This window comes from Homo sapiens, chromosome 7 (assembly GCF_000001405.40).
Source record: "Homo sapiens chromosome 7, GRCh38.p14 Primary Assembly".
Taxonomy (NCBI): domain Eukaryota; kingdom Metazoa; phylum Chordata; class Mammalia; order Primates; family Hominidae; genus Homo; species Homo sapiens.
In genome coordinates this window covers 49,894,008-49,911,296 of record NC_000007.14, presented here as the reverse complement: position 1 = coordinate 49,911,296, position 17,289 = coordinate 49,894,008, and the positions used below count along the sequence as shown (strand labels likewise).

General features: G+C 37.4%; 2 protein-coding genes across 12 annotated transcripts in view, besides 1 other annotated feature; one reads left to right on the top strand and one right to left on the bottom strand.

Moving 5' to 3' along the window:
• The window catches only part of VWC2 (von Willebrand factor C domain containing 2), a 148,568-nt gene that overhangs the window by 10,909 nt on the left and 120,370 nt on the right, over positions 1-17,289 (bottom strand). The window lies entirely within an intron of this gene.
• ZPBP (zona pellucida binding protein) overlaps positions 1-17,289 on the top strand; it is a 252,593-nt gene that overhangs the window by 181,950 nt on the left and 53,354 nt on the right. For 5 of the 7 annotated variants that reach the window (XM_011515100.3, XM_011515101.4, XM_011515096.3 and 2 more), the window contains 2 exons: positions 10,082-10,179; positions 13,645-13,730. In XM_011515100.3, the coding sequence (XP_011513402.1) occupies positions 10,082-10,179; positions 13,645-13,710 (164 nt within the window). In that variant the 3' untranslated portion in view covers positions 13,711-13,730. Of the gene's footprint in view, positions 1-10,081; positions 10,180-13,644; positions 13,731-17,289 lie in introns of those variants that run through there. The other 2 variants (XR_001744543.2, XM_011515097.2) reach the window with 1 other exon arrangement.
• Positions 3,251-3,752: an enhancer, noted in NCBI's record as "NANOG hESC enhancer chr7:49947141-49947642 (GRCh37/hg19 assembly coordinates)". NCBI's record gives its function as "activates a minimal SCP1, AML or CMV promoter by ChIP-STARR-seq in naive H9 embryonic stem cells {active_cell/tissue: H9 hESC(naive)}" and the evidence as "EXISTENCE:reporter gene assay evidence [ECO:0000049][PMID:30033119]".

The window sequence follows — 17,289 nt, the reverse complement described above, 5'->3', positions numbered from 1 at the left end:
TTGGCCAGGATGGTCTCGATCTCTTGACCTCGTGATCTGCCCGCCTTGGCCTCCCAAAGTGCTGGGATTACAGGTGTAAGCCACCGCTCCCAGCCCATTTAAAATTTTTATAAGAGACAACACTGTGACTTTCATTAACTTTTCCATTTTGGGGCTAAAATCTGCAGCCATTTCGTTTAATTAATTCTAAATACTCACAGAAAAAGCATAACTAAGACCTTCAAAGAACCAGTCCTCTTCAGGACACTTTCAGCAGAGATATCTTAAAACAAGCAAACTGCTTGAAGTGACATAAATTCAGTATACCTTCCAGGCCTCCGAGGGCAGCTTTTCAAACTTTCCCATACATTACAATGGCCTGGAGGGCTGTTGAAAACACTGTTTGCAGAGTTTGTGATTCACTAGGTTTGGGTTGGGGCCTGAGAATTTGCTTTGATAAGTTCTCAGGTGATGTGGATGCTGCTTGTTTGGGGATACACTTTGAGAAGCACCATCTTAGTGTGTTGCAGGAGTCTATCTTTCACAGTTTTCCATGAGAATTGAGGATCTCTGTAATTCTCAATCAATTCTATATCAGCTATAATATATCAGCCAACAAATGTGTCACATCTGCACTTTATGTTAAGATCAAGGACATGGAGAGATGAGTATCAGAAAGAGTTCCAACGTTAGTTAAAACACATTTTTTTTTAAAAGATTAATGGCTTTGTGTTATGGTTCATACCTGTAGATCTCATTCAGCTATGAGCAACTGCTCTACCTCTATACCTCCCTCCAAAATTCAAACACTGGTAATTACTGCATCCTAAATAAAGGCCCTCAACTTTTATCTTCAACAGTTTGCAAAATTCTCATTCTCCTCCCTTCTTTGCTTCTAATATCTTTGATAATGTGCTCACAACCAAAATGTGTTTAATTATAGCGTGTGAAGTCATCAAAGAGATGAAAAAGGTCCATCTGCAAAATTTTAAAAAATAAATTAATCCAGCAAACTCCAGAATAACAACTGGCCTTTGAATAATTCTAAGTACAATAGCTTATGTTCTGTGGTGGTGGTTTTCGAGTTCGCCCAGGAGGTGGAGGGCCCCCGCTTCTGGATGCCCAGCTCTGCACATGGCTGCCTGCTTGCATGTGCCCCCTTCTCCCTCCCTGAACTCTGTTTTCTTTTTTGTTTGTTTTGTGTTTGAGACAGGGTATTGCTCTGTCACCCAGGCTGGAGTGCAGTGGCATGATCATGGCTCACTGTAGCTGCTTCAATCTCCTGGGCTCAAGGGACCCTCCCACCTTAGCCTCCTGAGTAGCTCTGATCAGAGGAGCACACCACCACACCTGAGTAACTTAAAAAAAAAAATCTTTGGAGATATGAGGTCTTTCTATGTTGCCCAGGCTGGTCTCAAACTCCTGGGCTCAAGAGATCCTCCCGCCTTGACCTCCCAAAGTGCTGGGATTACAGGAATGAGTTGCCGCACCCAGCCCTGGACTTTCTTTTCTTCTTGTCCCCTGTTCAGACACTGCCCTAAGGTTCTGCCCTTGAACTCTTTCTCTTTCAGAGAACCCAACAATCATTCATCTGGCAATGACTCCCAAATTTTAGTTCCAATTGTACTTTCTCGCTTGAGCTCCAGTCTTGTGTTTCCAGGGGGCCAGTATCTGCATTACCTGAAAACACCAGATTTATGATGTCTGAGCCCAGTGTCACATATCCATTAGCTTTGGTGAATTGTAAGACTTTAAATTCAAGACCCCTCCCCACCCAGTGGCCCCAAAAGGATATTCTAGTCCTCTCTGCACTCCACCACACCCCACACAACTGGCCTCCACAGTTTGCTGCCTCCCTTGCTCTGCAGTGCATTTTCCTTAGTCCATAAGGCCAACAGTGCCACAGTGACCATTCGGATGGTGCCTATGTTTAAAATTTCCCTAATTACTCATATTTTGGCTCGAGCTGTCTTTGGCATGCCTTCTTTTCTGTATCATCTTTTTTTGCAGAGGTAAATTTGAAAATACAGTCTGCTTTTATTTCACCCTAATATCTGTCATCGTGCTTTGCACAGAGAAGCCACACCATAACTGCCCAGAAGACCTGTATCCTTAGATACAGATACTGACAGGTCTCATCTCCAGAGAAATCTGGATTAAAAATCTGGTACTTAATAGTTATGTGATCTTGGACTGATTAAATTAATTATTGTGTGCCTTAATGGGAATAATAAGACCTCACAGGGCCTCATGAGGGCTAAACTGGATAATTATATTTCACCTATCCTGTTGTTCTACAAATGCTAGCAAAAGTCTTTACCTGAATTAATCTTTCTATGTCAGGGCAACAGTCACTTGTAATGAGTTTTTATCATTCTAAGGTTAACTCTTCATTTTGCATTTTACTGTAGAATATAAAATCTTTATTTTTCATTCTTTTGCAACACATTGAAGTCTTTATTCTTTTTGATGTTCAAATTATCCAAAATTTGGCTAATGGGAGATCTGGACTTCAAGCTAGCTCTCATGTCTTTTTGACACACTCCTTTAATCACTAAAAGCTTCTTTCATTTCTAAACTAAGAAGATATCTTCAGCTGATCTTGCCCATATCTGTAATTAACCTTCTCTCTTCCTTTTGGTGGAGAATATATTTAGAACAAAGACCTGGCTATCACGTGTAGTATACTGACTGGGGTGGCCCTTCTAGGCCTTCTTGGTGGGCACAGATAGGAACACATAAAAACACACATACACATACATTTTTAAAAATTATAAATTCATAATATTAATTATAATTCAAAAATTTTCCTCTTAGATTTGTGTTATGTGTGGCTTTTCTCATACAATGAAACATTTTAACATATTTACTTATTTTGCTTATCCTGTTGTATTTAGATTTTAATTATATGTCTCATTTTACACTAAGACCTGTAAACCAAAAATAAACTTCTAAGTCCCTCACCAATTGAATGGACCCCTCCTTGTGGACAAGGGCATTCCAAAGTTAACCTGAAAACCTGTCTCAGGTCATGATGAAATGTAGGCGTTGGACATGCCTCATTATAACCTCCTCCTTTTGGAATTCAGGCACAGCTGACCAGCTTTACCATTAAAATAGAGATCTTAAAACTGACAAAACAGACTTTTTGTAGCAATAAGAAACCAAATTCCAGCCTGACTCTAGTATTGGCATCACATGACAGACAGTGGTCCCTGAAAGAAATAGATGTATTTTGTCCCAAAATATATTTCTTTGACATATTTTGAAATGGCCCTGCAAGGCTGTCTTTTGTGGGGAAAATCTGCATTCCGTAGACAATCCCCTTCCCTTTCCAGGTCTTTTCCCCCATCCAGGAGAGAATTAATGAAGAGTCTGGCACCTTTATAGGTCTGATAAGAGCTCTGAAGCGTGCTACTGGAGGCTTCATCTGCATGACAAAACTATGGTCTCCACAACCCCTTATCTTAACCCAGACATTCCTTTCTATTGATTCCAGGTCTTTATATGATAGCTCTTTCAAGCAATTGTCAATCAGAACATCTTTGAATACACCTATGACCAGGAAGTGGCCCCCAACTCCACCCTCAGTTTTTAGTTGTCCCACCTTTCAGGACCAAACCAATATATACATTACATGTATTGATTGATGTCTTATGTTACCCTAAAATGTATAAAGCCAAGCTGTGTCCCAATCACCTTGGGCACACATTCTCAGACTCTCCTGGGACTGTGTCATGGACCATGGTTACTCATATTTGGCTCAGAATAAATCTCTTTAAATATTTTACAGAGTTTGACTCTTTTTGTTGACAGACTCTTGTTTATTAAAATCCTTAATATACTCTCCTATTTTTATCCTACTGTTATGTAATTTAAAAATTACAATGCAAATGTCATTCCTAGTAATTAATATATATTTTGCACTTCTTAGAGCCAGCATATTTTGCTCAAAAGTCACTTATCTCTTCTCTGTGTGGTTGTATTATCACTGGCATATAGAGTCAGGTCCATCTGTTCCCATTTATCCTCTCCACTTCATTCCTATTCTGTTACCTCCCACCTCCAGCCATTATGTCAATCATTTTCAGTGATTTCTAATTTATCCTTCGAGTGTAACTTTTTTTAAGAATAAGCAAATTATTTCCTCATTTTTCTTTCACAAAAGGTAACATACTTCTTAATGCTGTGTACTTTGCTTTTTTTCACCTAAAAACATGTCCCAGCTTATCACTCCACATCCATACACAGACCCAGTACTTGTTCTTTATGGCTCCACTGTGTGCCTTCACCATTGTTTATTCAACATGGACTCTATTGATGGGTCACTTGAAACTGGTCCCCCTGCATTTAGGAAACATATAAATGCTTAGCACATTTTTTTTTATCATCTGCTTCAGGCAAGAAAGAGATATAAAAATTGCTGGAATTGATTAGTAAAGCCTGTATTCATGAGGAAAAACAAAAACCAACGAAAACATCAAGTGTTAAAATGATTTAAAACACACAATCCTAGAGGCAGAAAGCAACAATTTACAAGCTGTTTCACATAAGAAAGTTGGGGTGAAGGCAACTCAGCATCTGTACTTCAGATGTTTGTCCCCCACTGCTGTGATTAAAAGAAAATAATAATTCTTGGTAAGAATTTTATGATAGTATGATTTATTAAATTTTTGACAGTTGGCTGGGTGCGGTGGCTCACGCCTGTAATCCCAGCACTTTGTGAGGCCAAGGTGGGTGGATCACGAGGTCAGGAGATCAAGACCATCCTGGCTAACACAGTGAAACCCCATCTATAGTAAAAATACAAAAAAATTAGCTGGGTGTGGTGGCGGGTGCCTGTAGTCCCAGCTACTTGGGAGGCTGAGGCAGGAAAATGGCGTGAACCCAGGAGGCAGAGCTTGCAGTGAGCTGAGGTCGCCGCCACTGCACTCCAGCCTGGGCGACAGAGCAAGACTCTGTCTCAAAAAAAAAGAGAAAATTTTTGACAGTTAATATTTACTATATTCTTTAGCTCTTTGTTCTTTTTTGAATTTTTTGTCCTTATTATTATTTTAACTAGTTACTCTGTTACTAGAAAGGGGTCCTGATCCACACCCCAAGTGAGGGTTCTTGGATTTCATGCAAGAAAGAATTTGGGGTGAGTCCATAGAGTAAAGTGAAAGCAAGTTTATTAAGAAAGTGAAGGAATAAAGAATGGCTACTCCGTAGACAAAGCAGCCCTGAGGGCCACTGGCTGCCCATTTTTATGGTTATTTCTTGATTATATGCTAAACAGGGAGTCAATTATTTATGAGTTTTCTGGGAAAGGGTGGGCAATTCACAGAACTGAGGGTTCCTCCCCTTTTTAGACCATATAAGGTAACTTCCTGATGTTGCCATGGCATTTGTAAACTGTCATGGTGCTGGTGGGAGTGTAGCAGTGAGGATGACTAGAGGTCACTCTCATGGCCATCTTGGTTTTGGTGGGTTTTAGCCGGCTTCTTTACTGCAGCCTGTTTTATCAGCAAGGGCTTTATGACCTGTTTCTTGAGCCGACCTCTTTCTTGCGCCAACATCCTATCTCGTGACTTAGAATGCCTTAACCATCTGGGAATGCAGCCCAGTAGGTCTCAGCCTCATTTTACCCAGCCCCTATTCAAGATGGAGTGGCTCTGGTTCAAACACCTCTGACATCTCCATTAGACAGTAATTTTCTCATTGTAGAGTTTTCTATTGTATTGTAGTTTACAAACACACAAAGTACAATGCACACAAATAAATAAAACTCTTTTTTAAATGATAGAAATCAAGGTTTACCTCACATTAAAATATATTACCAATGAAATTAATTCCAAGAGGGAATGTAAACTTGCTTAGAATGTGAAAAACGAATATTTACCAAAATTTGCTTCCTTTTTGTTTATTTAGTCCCTGATGACTCTGAGGAACTATTGTACTGGTTCTTTCACAGCGTGAGTAAAAGCAGTGGCACTGCTGTAGCAGTGGCTGCTGTGGTGGAGATGGCTGAGTGATGAATGGTCACTTTCCATAGCTATCATGTACTCTCATGATAAGTACTGTCTTTTACCCCTTTTCCTAATACATCATAGAACTGCCCATGTTGAATATGCTGCTTCTGTCTTAACACAGTACAGTTGAGGTGATGGAAGGTCAATTTATGTTTCAAATAAGCTGTATAAATGTGGACCCTTAAAAATTCCTAAAGTAAGCTTTCTTCATCTTAAGTGATTTTTAGCTTAAGGAGGGGATTATTCAGATAACAATTAGAATTAATACATGATGGCCTGGCACGATGGCTCACACCTCTAATCCCAGCACTTTGGGAGGCTGAGGTGGGTAGATTATGAGGTCAGGAGTTCAAGACCAGCCTGGCCAAGATGGTGAAACCCCATCTCTACTAAAAATACAAAAATTAGCCAGGTGCAGTGGCAGGTGCCTATAATCCAAGCTACTTGGGAGGCTGAGGCAGGAGAATTGCTTGATCCTGGGGAGAGGAGGTTGCAGTGAGCCGAGATCGCGCCACTGCACTCCAACCTGGGCGACAGAGTGATACTCCATCTCAAAAAAAAAAAAAAAAATTAATATATGCTATGTTGCTATTTTTTCCTGCTTCAAATATTTAGTTATGATGTAAAGTTACTGCTCTTGTAATAGGTAAGTTCTTTTTGAATAAAAACCATGTAAAAGTGGTAAGTTATAAAAATTTAACTAAAATGTAAATTTGGATTTTTACAACAGATTTTAATTACTGAAATTTTTTAAAGCCTTCCTCCTATAAGCAGCATTCCTAATAAATCAATCAAGTTGTGAGATTGTTTCAACCAAGTCCCTCTAAACATGTGTATCTACATGCATGTGCATTTATTTTCTTTTTAAAAACATACTACTTTTTAAAAATTTGTTTTATTTTGAAATCAAACCTGGAAGTTGCAAAGGGAGTAGGAGGTCCTATGCAGCCTTCACTCAGTTTTTTTCCCAAAGTTACAGCTTACATGATTATAGAATAATACAGGAGTGAAGAAGAAATCACTTAGGCAGATAGTGAGGGTATGGGAGTCCTCGGTAAAGCTTTTCTTTTAATGAAAAGCAGCCTCAAATCATTTTCTAACAAAGAGCAGCCTGTAAAGTTGAGCTGCAGACATAGACAAGCTGGGAGCTTACAAGAGTCAATGCCAGCAGGAACTACTGACTAGACATGTTCAAGATGGTGGCTCCATCTTCCCTTCTCTGCCAGCCATGTGTATAGTAAGGAGCAGATAAGATGGCAACCACCAAGGGGAGAGTTCATTTACAAAATAAGATTAGGGTGGGGTGACCAGCCTTCCCCCATGCTATGTAAATGTCACATCTGATCCAACCAATCTGTGAGCCCTATGTAAACCAGACATTGCCTCCTCAAGGCGGAATATAAAATCCAGCGCATCTGCCACCAGCCAGTCTTTCCTCTTGGAAGTCCCTTCTCTCTCACTAGAGAGAGAGCTGTTCTTTCTCTTTCTTCTGCCTATTAAACCTCCGCTCCCAAACTCTTTGTGTGTGTCCCTGTCCTAAATTTTCCTGGAGCAAGACCACAAACCCTGGGTATATACCCCAGACAACGTAGCCACTTCAATAATATGTGCATATACGTCTATGTTATTTGATTGCATATACAACTTTGTGTAATCACCACCCAATCAAGACCTCCCTCTGCCACCCTATATAGTCACACTGCACCTTCTCTGGCCCCACCATCTTTAACCCCTCAGGGCTGATAATATTCTCCATATCTATTGTTTTATTATTAAAAGAATACTACGTAAGTGGAATCATATAGTATCAAAAGTGGGCTTTGGGATTGGCTTTTAAAACTCAGCATAAAGCCTTTGAGATCTATCCAAGTTGTGGTGAGTATCAATAGTTCATTCCTTTTAACAGGTAAGTTGTATTCCATGGTATGGCTGTACCACAGTTTAATAATTTAACAACTGAGTGGCATTTTGTTTTTTTCCAGTTTTGAGCTATTATAAATAAAGCTGAATATTTTCTGTGAACATAGTCTTTCTCCTAAATGAAAGCACAGGAGAAATACAACTACCACAATTGCTGGATTGTGTGGTAGCTGAGTATTTAGTTTTATAAGAAACTGACAAACTGTTTTCCAGAATGTCTATAAAATTTACAGTCCAACCACGAATCCAGTTTACTCACATCTTTACCAGCATTTGATCTTGTCACAAGTTTTTGTTTTAGCCATTATATTGATGTATAGTGATATCTCAAGTTTTAATTTGTATTTCCCTAGTGGCGGGTGATGTTCATCTTTTCATGTGTTTATTTGCCATTTTATATCTTCATCTGTGAAAGGACTCTTCATGTATTTTGCCTATTTTCTAACTGAATTGTTTGGTGTTTTTATTGTTTAATGTTGTGTTATTTATATGTTCCACGTACTGTTCCTTTATCAGACATGTGGTTTACAAATATTTTATCTGAGCTTGTAGCTTTCTATCATCTTAAAGGGGTCTTTGATAAAAGAAAAAATTTATATTTCAAAAAAATTTTATATTTCAATGCGATCAAATGCATCAATTTTCTATCTTATGGATCCTGCTTTTGATGTCCTAACAACTCATCAAGAAGCCCTACGTCCTAAAGTTTTTTTCTTGTTATTTCATAAGAATGTTATACTTTTATGGTTTACATTTAAATCTATGATCCATTCTGAGATAAATTTTTCATAGGGTGTGAGGTTTGGGTTTGAGATTCTTTTTTTTTTTTTTTGGCTACGGATATCCAATTGTTACAGTGTCATTTGTTAAAAAAACAAGCAAACAAACAAACAAAAAACTACCCTTTCATTGAGTTACCTTTGCACCTTTGTCAAAAATAAATTTGCTGTACTGTTGTGGGTCTGTTTCTGTGTTCTGCTGTTCCACTGATCTATGTGTCTGTCCTCTTCACAATACAATAGATTTTAAATGGGGTGGAATGATTCTTCCCTCTTTATTCTATTCCAAAATTGTTTGTATATTTAGGACAACAGTTTTTTTTATGTCTTTTGCAAATGTTTTCTTCCAGTCTGTGGTTTGCCTTTCATTCTTTTGAGAACATCTTTCAGAGAGCAAAAATTTTTAATTTTAATGGAGGCCAGCCCATCAATTCTTTCTTTATTATTCATGTTACTGATGTTGTATCTAAAAATTCATCACCAAACCCAAAGCTATCTAGACTTTCTCCTATGTGATCTTCTACGACTTTTATGGTTCTATGATTTACATGTAGGTATATAATCTATTTTAAGTTAATTTTTATGAAGGGTGTAAAGTCTGTCTCTTGATTTATTTTTTCACATGTGGATGCTCAGTTGTTCCAGTACCATTCGTTGAAAAAACTATCATTGTTCCATTGTACTATGTTTACTCTGTTAGCAAACAGTGTTAGCTAACAGTGTTAGCAAACAGTGTTCATATTTATCTGAGTCTATTTCTGGGCTCTCTATTCTGTTCCATTGATCAATGTGTCTATTCTTTTGCCAATACCACACTGTCTTGATTACCATTGCTTTATATTAAGTTCAGCTACGTTTTTCTCTTTCAATATCGTGTTGGCTATTCTAGGTCTTTTGCCCCTCCAGATAAAACAGGATCCGTTTTGATAACTATAAAATTGCTTCCTGGGATTTTGTTTGGGATTGTGTTGAATCTATTGCTCAACAATAGATCTTGATAATGTTGAGTCTTTCTATCCATGAACTTGAAACATCTCTCTATTTATATATTCTATGATTTTTTCTATCATAATTTTATATTTTTCCTCATATAGATCTTATGTATATTTTGCTAATTTTATACCTAAGTATTTCTTTTTGGTGATAGTAATATAAATGTATTATGTATTTAATTTTAAATTACAGTTGTCATTTGCTAGTATATAGGAAAGTGATTGAATTTTGTCTATTAACCTTGTACACTGCAATCTTGCTTATTAGTTCCTGAAGTTTTTTTTCTTGATTGTTTTGAATTTTCTACACAGACCATCATGTCATCTGCAAACAAAGACAGTTTTATTTCTTCTTTCCCTATCAGTATACATTTTATTTCTTTTTCTTGTCTTATTGCAGTAGTTGGGACTTCCACTATGATGTTGAAAGGAAATGAAGAAAGGAGACAGCCTTATTTTGTTCCTAATCCTGGTGGGAAAGCTTCAAGTTTCTCAACAGTAAGTACGATGTTGTAGGTTTTTTGTAAATAGTCTTTATCAAGTTGATGAAGTTCTCCTCTGTTCCTAGTTTACCTTATCATAAAAGGGTGTTAGATTTTGTCAGGTCTTTTTTCTGTATCTACTGATATCATCGTGATTTTTCTTCTTTAGCCTGCTGATGTGATGAATTAAGGCATACCTGGGATAAATCCCATGTAGTTGTGATGTATAATTATTCTTACACATGGTTGGGTTCAATTTGCTAATAGTTTGTTGAGGATTTTTGCATCTATATTCTTAAGAAATATTAGTCTTTAGTTTTCCTTTCTTGTAGTGTCTATGTCTGGTTTGGTAATAGGGTAACGCTGAAAGAAATTGTAAAATATTGATATCAGTTCTTCCTTAAATGTTTGGTATAATTCACCAGTGATCCTATCTGGGTCCACGGTGCTTCCTGTTTTGGAAGGATGTTAATTATTGATTATATCTCTTTTATATATATAGACCTATTTGGAGTATCTATTTCATTTTGTGTGAGCTTTGTCAGATTGTGTCTTTCAAGGAATTGGTTCATTTCATCTTGATTATTAAACTTGCAGGAATAGGATTGTTTGTAGTATTTTTTTATTATCCCTTTAATGTCCATGGGATCTGTAATGATGTCCTCTCTTTTGTTTCTTATAGCAATTTGCATCCTCTTTTTTGTTCTTAGCTTGGTGAGATACTTAGAACTTTTATTAATCTTTTCAATAAACAAGCTTTTGTTTTAATCAGCTTTCTCTATTGTTTTCCTGTTTTAAATTAATAGATTACTGCTCCATTTATTTTCTTTGGCCTACTTTGAAATTAATTTGCTCTTCTTTTTCTAGTTTCTAAAGGTGGAAGCTTAGATTATTGGTTTTAGATTTCTTCTTTTCTAATTTATGCATTCAATGCTACAAATGTCCCTAAAGTCCTGCTTTCACTATATCCCACACATATATTTTTATTTAGTTTAAAATAAACTAAATTTTTATTTAGTTTAAAATATTTTTAAACTTCTCTTGAGACTTCTAGGCTCCATGTGTTATTTATAAGTTTATTGTTTAACATTCAAGTATTTGGGGACTTTCCAGGTATCTTTCTATTACTGATATCTAATTTAATTCCCTTGTAGTCTGAGAGCAGCTATTGTATGATTTCCATTTTTCAAAATTTATTAAGGTATTTTATGACCCAGAATGTGGTCTATCTTAGTAAGGGTTCCATATCATCTTGAGAATAATGTGTATTATGCTATTGTTGATGAAGTAGTCAATAGATGTCAATTATATCCACTTGACTCATGGTACTCTTCAGGTCAACTATGTCCTTACTGATTTTTCAGCTTCCCGAATCTATACATTTCTGGTAGAGGGGTGTGGAAATATGCAAGTATAAAAGTGGATTCACCTGTTTCTTCTTGCAGTTCTATCAGATTTTGCCTCATGTGTTTTGATACTGTTTTCAGGCAAATGCATATTGAAGACCTGTGTGTCTTCTTGAATAATTGACTCATTTATCATTATATAATACCTCCCTCTGGCTGATAACTTTCCTTGTTCTAAAGTCTGCTCTGTCAGAAATTAATATAGCTACTTATCCTTTATTTTGATTAGTCTTAACATGGTGTAACTTTATCCATCCATTTACTTTGAAGCTATATAGTAGTCCCTTTTTATCCACAGTTTTGCTTTCCATGGTTTCAGTTACCCATGGTCAACTGCAATCCAAAAACATTAAATGGAAAATTCCAGAAATAAAAAACTCCTAAACTTTAATTTTTTTGCACTGCTCTAAATAGCATGATGAACATTCATGCCATCCCATGCCATCTTTCCTGGTACATAAATCATCCCCTTGTCTAGCATATTCTTGGTGTGTATGCTACTCACCCATTATTATAAGGGAAAAACATAGTATGTATAGGGTTCAATACTATCTAAGGTTTCAGGCATCCACTGGGGGTTGTAGAACATATCCTTTGTGGATAAGGGGGGATAGTCTATGTGTCTGATTTCTTGCAGACAACAAATAGTGGTGTGTTGTTTTTGATCCCCTTTGAAAATCTGTTTCTTGGTGTATATAGCCCATTTATGTTCAAAGTGACTGTTAATATAGTTGAATTAATATCTGCCATATTTCTCACTATTTTCTATTTGTTGCACTTGCTCTTTGTTCCTGTTTTTGTCTTCAACTTTTTTATGCTTTTTGTGGCTTTAATTTAGCACTTTATGATTCTATTTTTCTTCTTTCTTAGCATACATGGTATATTTCCTTTTTTACTTTTTATAGGGGTTGCCCTAGACTTTGCAGTATACAGCTAACATAAGTCAGCTTTCAAATAACACTAAACCACTTTGTGGGTAATGAGAGTATCTTATAATAACAAAATAAACCTAATTCTTCTTTTTATCCATTGTCCTACTGCTGTCATTCATTTCTGTTATACATAAGCTTATGTAGGTTATGTATATTTTACATATATTTTACATATATGGGTATGTGTGTGTGTATGCTTATGATATGTGTGTGTGTATATACATATGTAATGTGTTGTAAGAAAAAATCACCACTCTAGAATTTTGTAGCCTGCAGAATTAACTTTCAAAAGTGAAGGAGTAATAAAAACTTTGTCAGACAAACAAATATTGAGGGATTTGTGGTTAGTAGACCACCCTTACAAGAAATGTTCAAAGTTCTTTAGCGAGAAAGAAAATTGTATGGGTAAGAAACCCATATCTAAATAAAGAAAGAAGTAACATCATAGAAAGAATAAGTGAAGGTTTTTTTAAAAAAAAAAACTTCGATGTTTTCTTACCTTGATTTAAAAGATAACAGTTCATAATAACAGCAACAATGTATTTATGCTTATATCTGTGTGTTTGTGTGTGTGTATATACATATATAAAGCATACATATATACACACACATATATACACACACACATATAAAGCATACACATATATATACACACACACATACATACACACACACACACACATATATGTAAAGCATACATAATGGTTGTACAGGAAGGCTATAGTGGGCTAAAGTTGAGTATTTCTCTTCACCCAGATCAGTTAGGCTCTGATAAAACCCTAGCAGGTTAAGTTCTTGTTAAACAGTTTCTCCTGAGAACTGAGAAGAACACAATGCTCTGGAGTGTTTCAAATGGCTATTTTTCCCCTCCCCCTGCAAGAAGTGTGAGCGAATTTTTCTCTAATATTCACTGTGAGAACCTTGTTGAGCTCCTGGCAGTAAAACTCAAAGTGTGGGAACTGTGACCCTATGACTGAATCCCTGTGGAGTTTTTTACTTTCAAGCTTGTCCAGCAAACTTCCAGCAATTCATCAGTTACCGGTTAGGTTTTCCTCAATTACAGTTTACATTTTCCTAACCCAATACTGGTTCCCATGGAGCTTTCTGCTCAGGTAAGTTGTGATTTTCTGTATTTGCCTACAGGTCTCTTCAATTTGGAGAGTAACAGTTTGTCCTGTGACCTCTGAGGGATCCAAGAAGAGTTGTTGATTTTTTAGTTTGTTCAGAGTTTTACCTGTTTTTAGGATAGAGTTGCAACTTCCAAGCTTCTACATGCCAGACTGGAAACTCTATTGATCAGTGTTTGAGTACTAAGCCAACTTTGGCATATCTGGAATAAACTCCCCTTGTTCTTGGCATGCAATTCTTCTTCTGTATTGATGTATTCTTTTTATCAATATTTTAAAAGAAATTTTGTGGCAGTATTCATGCAAAATATTGACCTGTATTTTTTTCACTGTCTTTGGTTTTGGTATCAGGATAATAATAACTTCATGGAATGAGTTGGGAAATTATTGGATGAGATTTAAGGATACTAATTAATTCTTCTTTCAATGTTTGGTATTACTATTGAGTTTGAGTTTTTAAAAAATTATCAATCCGGCCGGGCGCGGTGGCTCACGCCTGTAATCCCAGCACTTTGGGAGGCCGAGGCGGGTGGATCATGAGGTCAGGAGATCGAGACCATCCTGGCTAACAAGGTGAAACCCCGTCTCTACTAAAAATACAAAAAATTAGCCGGGCGAGGTGGCGGGCGCCTGTAGTCCCAGCTACTCGGGAGGCTGAGGCAGGAGAATGGCGTGAACCCGGGAAGCGGAGCTTGCAGTGAGCCGAGATTGCGCCACTGCAGTCTGCAGTCCGGCCTGGGCGACAGAGCGAGACTCCGTCTCAAAAAAAAAAAAAAAAAAAAAAAAATTATCAATCCAATTTTCTTAATAGTTCTCAAGCGAATTATTTCATATTGAATGAATTGAGGTAGTTTGCATTTTTTGAGGACTTTGTCTACATCTTCTTACTTGTTAAATTTATGTGCATAGAGTCGCTGATAATATTCCTTCATTTTCTTTTTAATGTCTGTTGGACCTGTAATCATACCTCCTATTTTATGACTTATTTTAGTAATTCATGTCTTCTTTCTTTTCTTCCTTTGTCTTGCTATGTGTTTAATTGTTGATCTTTTCAAAGAACCAACCAGTTTTTGGTTTCATTGATTTTCTTACATGATTTTTTGTTTTCAATTTTACTGATTTTTGTTCTCATCTTTACTATTTTTTCTTTCCATTGCTTTTGGTTTATTTTGCTTTGCTTTTTCAAGTTTCTTCAAGTAGGAACTTAATTATTGATTTAGGAATTTTTTTCTCTTTTCTAATGTGAGCATTTCATTCCATATGTTTTCCTTTTAGCACTGCTTTATCTGTCTCTCACAAGTTGTGATGTGTTATACTTTCCTTTTTTTGAAGTAGAGTCTTGCTCTTTCACTCAGGGTAGAGTGCAGTGGTGCAATCTCAGCTCACTGCAACCTCCACCTTCTGGGTTCAAGCGATTCTTGTGCCTCAGCCTCCTGAGTAGCTGGGACTACAGGCATGCACCACCAAACCTGACTAATTTTTGTATTTTTAGCAGAGACAGGGTTTTACCACATTGACCAGGCTAGTCTCAAACTCCTAACCTCAAGTGATCCACCCACTTTGGCCTCCCAAAGTGCTGGTATTACAGGTGTGAGCCACCACACCGGACCTGTACTTTCTTTTTCATTAAACGTTTACTTTAATTTTATAGACTTGAAGCACAATAACTACTAAGAATCTTGGGAAAATATATCACTCATGACTACCTGGTGAATGAAAATATGAATTACTTAAGAGAATGTATAAAATTTATACATATATACAAATGGATTCTACTATTATAATTACTCAATGCAAGTAACCTCCCATACATTTAACTTCATTATTAAGTGGGAGAATGGGTTAATCTTAATTAATTAACATTGATTATACTTAATTTTCATATTTATATGCTACTTAATTTTTATATTTATATGCTATATATTACAAGAAATATGCAGGCAGAAAAATTATATAAATATGAAAAATGAGACTCAGAGAGACTATTAGTCCAAGTCCTATGGCTGATAATTAATTACTGATATGTTACATTGTGTTGATTTTGCATGGTTTCAGTTAAAGGATGCTCTGGTTAAAAATGATTAATTTTGAAATTGCTATAGGATATAATGCTTTTCTTGCCTCATGGACAGCTGATAAACCTGGCTTAACTGATTTTTTCTGTGATCATTTGATGTCAGAGCAGAGGGTTCACATTGTGAAGGGTTTTTTTGTTGTTTATACCATCTGGACTCCATGAGTATGTCCACCCTGCTCACTGGTGCTGATGCACAATGCTGTGATCTGAATATTGGTGTCCCCCTGGAATTCGTACATTGAAACTTAATCAACAATGTGATAGTATTAAGAGGTGAAGCCTTCAGGAGGTGATTAAGTCATGAGGGCAGAGCCCTCATGAGTGGGATTTGGTGATCTTAGGAAACAAATGTGAGGGAACTGTTCATCCTTTCCATCCCTCCCCTGCCCACTGTGTGAGGACGCTACCATGGCAAGACACCATCAATTGAACAGGCCCTCTCCAAACACCAAATCTGCAAGTGCCTTTATGTTGGACTTCCCAGCCACTAGAACTGTGAGAAAATACATTTCTGATGTTTATAAATTACCCAGCCTGTGGTATTTTGTTATAGTAGCATGAATGGACTTAGACATATAGTATCAGAATGGCCTAGCACATTTAACAAAAACTCACTCTTGACTGGGGAAGAGCCATCTTCCATCCCTTAAAAAAAGTCTTTCACAACATGTCTCCTGCAATGCAGAGGCTGTGTTCGGCGCCTACTGCTGCCCTAGTTGCCAGCACACTCTAGCCCAGGATAGGTGCTTGCACTTAGCGCTGAACAGATGATAAGGCTGTAGCTTACAAATTCCAAATCTGGCTAGAACCTCTTGGGCTATTTTTAGTTGAGCCTCCCCTCCTGGCTGCTCCTGTGTCTCCAGCAAAACAGCCTTCTCAGTGACAGCCCTAGGCCCCCACCCACGCTTTTCCCTGATTGGAAGTCCCTCAGGACAGGAGCCAACACAGCACTGCAGCCTCACCCTAGGGTCTAGTGCTGCATGCAGCACAGAGCTAGAGCTCAGTATATGTACAGTTGAGTTAAGTCTTCAAATTAAATAATGAATTGGCATACTGAAATAAAAGTATCACAGCTGAGTTGGTGGATAAATTGCCACTATGTTTTGGATTTTTATAACAAGGGATGGTAAGCCATAGGAAGACTGTGTTGATGAACAAGGATCAGGTGCAGTGGCTCATGCCTGTAATCATAACACTTTGGGAGGCCGAGGCAGGTGGACTGCTTGAGCCCAGGTGTTCAAAACCCCGTCTCTACAAAAAATACAAAAATTAGCCGGGCATGGCGGTGCTATCTATAATCCCAGCTATTCAGGAGGCTGAGGTGGGAGGGTCACCTGAGCCTGGGTGGTCGAGGCTGAGGTGAGCTGTGATTGTGCTACTGCACACCAGCCTGGATGACAGAGTGAGAACCTGTCAAAAGAAAGAAAGAAAAGAAAAAGCCTAGAAACGACACACATAGGTGTCTATGTCATATCTCCTCCCCTTCCAGAAAAAGCCTAGAAACGACACACATAGGTGTCTATGTCATATCTCCTCCCCTTCCATCCAGGACTAGGTGTTGAGGAATGGTTCGTCACACCAGAA